A 4,575-nucleotide genomic window follows, 5' to 3' on the forward strand; every position below is an offset into this window, starting at 1 on the left:
GTTTAAAGGAAGTTTAGGAAACTTCAAAGAGAACAGTTAGGCATGGAGTGGATCTTTGGTTATTAAATGTGGCCAGTGGGTCTATACTAAATCTAAAAGAATTTAACTGAGAAAAGAAAGTGAAAATACATTACCATAGTTGAAAGAATCCCCTAAATCAAATTTGGCTTAGTGAAGCTTCCACTGGACTGGAGATATTCAAGGTAGTAGAGAAATGACGTAATGGTGCAAATGATTTAAACCAGACTTAAGCAAATTTTTTCTGTCAAGGGCCCTTCTGTCTGTGTCACAACTAGTCAACTGTGCCATCATAAAGCCAAGGAGGTAGCTAATACATAAATGAAAGAGTGTGGGAGGATGTGTTCCAATAGCACTTTGTTTAAAAATTGGTTGGCAGACTAGATATGACTCATGGACTGCAGTTTAAAGACCAGTGATTTAGACTAAGAAAGTGTTATGAAATAAAAGAAGTCTTTTGCAATCCAAATAGTCATGATAGTTGTCGATATTAAATACATTAACTGGACTTGAGCAACTATTCACAGTGTTTATAAAGAATGCCTGAAATTGCAGCTTCTGAAGACAGCTCTTCATTTTTCCCTAAAGAAAAATATTACAGAGCTGAAGCTGGCATATGATCTGTATGCATCTTGATCACCATACTGGATTATCCTACACTGAAATAAATAAGTCTTTGCGTGACACCACATTTTGCATAAAATGTATGTTTCCTAAATTAATAGCTTTTGTCAACTTAGAATTTTAATCAATGCATGCTACTTTGTTATTCAAATCTCCTGAAAACGAGAATAGAAAAAATTAAGATAATTAATACAAATTAACAAGATACTTAAGTTAATCCATTGAGTACTTCCACATTCACGTTTAGACTTACATAATATTAATGCCCTAAAAGAAGTTTGGATAGTGTTATTCTGAATAGGGAAGTAAATGACGGAAAAAGGATATTGCAATAGGTGTGGCTTGTGAAGCTCAACTATAGAAGTTTTAAAAATTTACTTTGTAATTCATTTTAACTTTAATTATCTATGAATCACGCACGTTTCATAAACTAGATGCTTGCAAATAATGTGTTTTGGGGATTGATATTATTGTCAAAGTGGAACTAAATAGTGATATTTAGTAATAAAGTTACAACAAAGTACTATATGCATTATAAACTAAATAATGAAACCATTTTTAAGATTAAGAAGTCTAAAAAAGGTGAGGTGTCTATATAGCTTTTTTATGTTTATTTAATCATGTTTAATCATGAACATGCACAATCATAGCATTTTATGTGCCTTTTATTTATTATAGATTACACTGTTTTGATTACTTAATCACTTTCCCTTTTCTTTAAATTTTATTTTTAATTGATGCATAATAATTATACATATTCATAGGGGACAATGTGATATTTCAATACATGCATGCACCGCATAATGATCAAATCAGGATAATTAGCATATCCATCATCTCGAACATTATTTTGACTTAGAATTAAGAAAAAACAAAACTTAAAATGTACTACATTGCAACATATAGGCCAAGTACTTTATATTGCAACACTATATTTTGTTTTCATAACAAATCTTATAAGTATTATTATTATTGTCATACTACAGGTAAGAAAAGTAAAGCACAAAATGATTATTAAACTTTGTAATAGTAATGGAGTTACTATTACAGTTCTGTCATAAATGGCAGAACTGGGACTTGACACAGTTCTATCTGACTTGAGTTCCCAATCACTAAACTACCCTAATATATCATCTCTGAAGAAAACTATTAGAGATAGGGCTGGGAAGTGCAACAATACAACTCATTAAGTAGTAAGTGTCTAGTATATGCCAGGTTCTAGTCCCACACTGGATATGCCAGATTTCCTATGGAAGAATTTTTTTTTTGACAGAGTCTCCTTGTGCCACCCAGGCTGGAATGCAGTGACATGAACATGGCTCACTGCAGCCTTAACCTTCTGGGTTCAAGTGATCTTCCCATCTCAACCTCCCAAGTAGCTGGGACCACAGATGCACGCCACCACAGTTTGAGTAATTTTTAAATTTTATTATTGTTACTTTTATTATTTTTTCTGTTAAATAGAAATAGGGTCTCACTATGTTGCCCAGGCTGATCTTGAACTCCTGGCCTCAAGCAATTCTCCTGCCTTAGCGTCCCAAAGTGCTGGGATTATAGGTGTGAGCCACTGCACCCGGCCTGTATCTTTTTTTTTTTTTTGGTAGGGGGCGGGGGGAAAATTCTTTTACCATTCAATAAAAGTTAAAATATGATTAAATATATAAACACTGAACATTTCAAGATCCTTTTGTGAATATAAGCTAGTAATACAAAGTGTTTTACCTCAAACTTATCACCAGCTGAGTGATTTCAACAGGACAGCATGGGATATATCAGAAATATCTGAGAAGTCCTTCTTTGTGAACTAGACTGTGAATTCTTTAAGAGAAGGAGGACTAGGATGTTCCTCACCTTTGTATCTGTAATGTCAAATATAATGCCTATCACAAAACACAAAATGCTAGATGCCCAGGGGAACCAGTCTCTGACCAGTCACTTACCATTTGTGTAGCCTTGGGCCAATATATCCTGTTTCATTATTTGTAAAATATGGTTTTCTGCCAGGTAATTGCAAAATCTGAAAAAGATATATATTTTTTTCTGTTATGCAGCTTCCCATCTAATGTGTGGAAGACAGAAACATATTAATACTTATCCTGTCTTGCTCACAGAATTGGTGTAAAGGTGAAATGACATACTGTACATATATTACACATTATAAAATTCTCCACAAAAATTAGTATTTTAATTTTGATCATGTATGGTAATTCTATCTCAATTATTCTTGAATTATTGCTGTTGGCTATTCAGAGTTTCTATGATATGTTATGAAATGCTCACAAATATAAAGTTGTTATCATCCATCTATTAGTTTGGATTATATTGGTTGCAAGAGAAATCCAACTCCCACTAGCTTAAGAGGGAGAAGTGAATATATTAAATACATGTAGAGTAGCTCTCCTAATCAAGAAAGAAAGAAAAAAAAAAAGCTATAAGGACAGGGCAGCTATAGGAATCTCAAGTATGCAAAATACAATTTCAATCCTATGGGTCTTTTTTTTTTTTCTCCCTTTCTCTTTTTCTCCCTCTTCTACCCACTATTGGTTGCTTTGAATGTTAGTTTCTTCCTTTCAGCCTTCTCCACTTTGTGGAGAAAATGGCCTCTGACACCCATAGAGTCATATTCTTATAGTTCCTTGACATCCCTACAATTCCATAACTACAGGGAAGAGAGACACTTCCCTACCACATTTAGCTGAATAATCCCGAGGAAGACCTCAGATCGTTCTGGCTTGTTCATCCGTGGGCCAATCAGTGGGATCATACAGCTGGGTTGCTATGATGGTCTCAGCCTAGGTCACAGGCTCACTTCTTTTTATAAGATATGGGGCTGGGAGAATATCCTGAGCATGACAAAAACAGTAACTACCACAATACCATAGCTTCATTTGCTTAATGCTATATCTATTAAAATACAAGTTTATTGATAGGATAACAAAGATCATCTCTGTTTCTCTTATTCTATGGTAATACTTGCAAGCTGGATCGGCTACATAATTTGCAAGGCCTAGTGAAAAATGAAAATATGAGACTCTTTGTTCAAAAAGAAGAAAAATGTGTAGTTTAGGGTATTAAAATATAAAACTTTTTTTAAAAAATATTTCATTACTTATAAACTTAATGGGGTAGATACATGAATAACAAGATGAACTTAATGCAAAGAAAATAATATTTTGGTGTAATAATTTTATATAATATAATAAATGATTTTATTTATTTATTTATTTATTTATTTATTTAATTTATTTATTTATTTATTTATTTATTTATTGAGACAGCGTCTTGTTCTGTCACCCAGGCTGGAGTGCAGTGGTCTGATCTCAGCTTACTGCAACCTCTGCCTCCCAGGCTCAAGTGATCCTCCTACCTCAGCACCCCAAGCAGCTGGGACTACAGGTGTGTGCTACCATGCCGGGCTACTTTTTCTATTTTTTCTAGAGACAGGGTTTCACCATGTTACTCAGGCTGATCTCAAGCTCCTGGGCTTAAGCAATCAGCCCGCCTTGGCCTCCCAAAGTACTGGGATTACAGGTGTGAGCCATCGCGCCTAGGCAATCGTACTTTATTAACATGACATCTTGATCCGTCAGAAGATTTTTCTGGCTCACTTTTCTGTACATTTATTTATTAAAGTCATCAAAATACACACTTTTAGCCACTTAAATTTCAATTGCTATAATTGAAAGTGGTGTCAGTTGCTCTTGGCAAATACAAGAATGCAAATAATTTTTGATAATTTTTAAGTTTTTAGAAGGATCTTTCTGCTGATACCACTGTTAAGAGTATTACATAGGCTATAATAATATTGAGATGATTTCTGATAAATTAGGTCTAAATATAAGTTTTAGTACATGTGGAATTTATATTTCTTGCAGAACAATTTTTCTAAAAAGATTTAACTCTTCATTCAAATCAATTTCATTTAAGACTAAA

The sequence above is a fragment of the Homo sapiens genome, chromosome X (assembly GCF_000001405.40).
Source record: "Homo sapiens chromosome X, GRCh38.p14 Primary Assembly".
Lineage (NCBI taxonomy): Eukaryota > Metazoa > Chordata > Mammalia > Primates > Hominidae > Homo > Homo sapiens.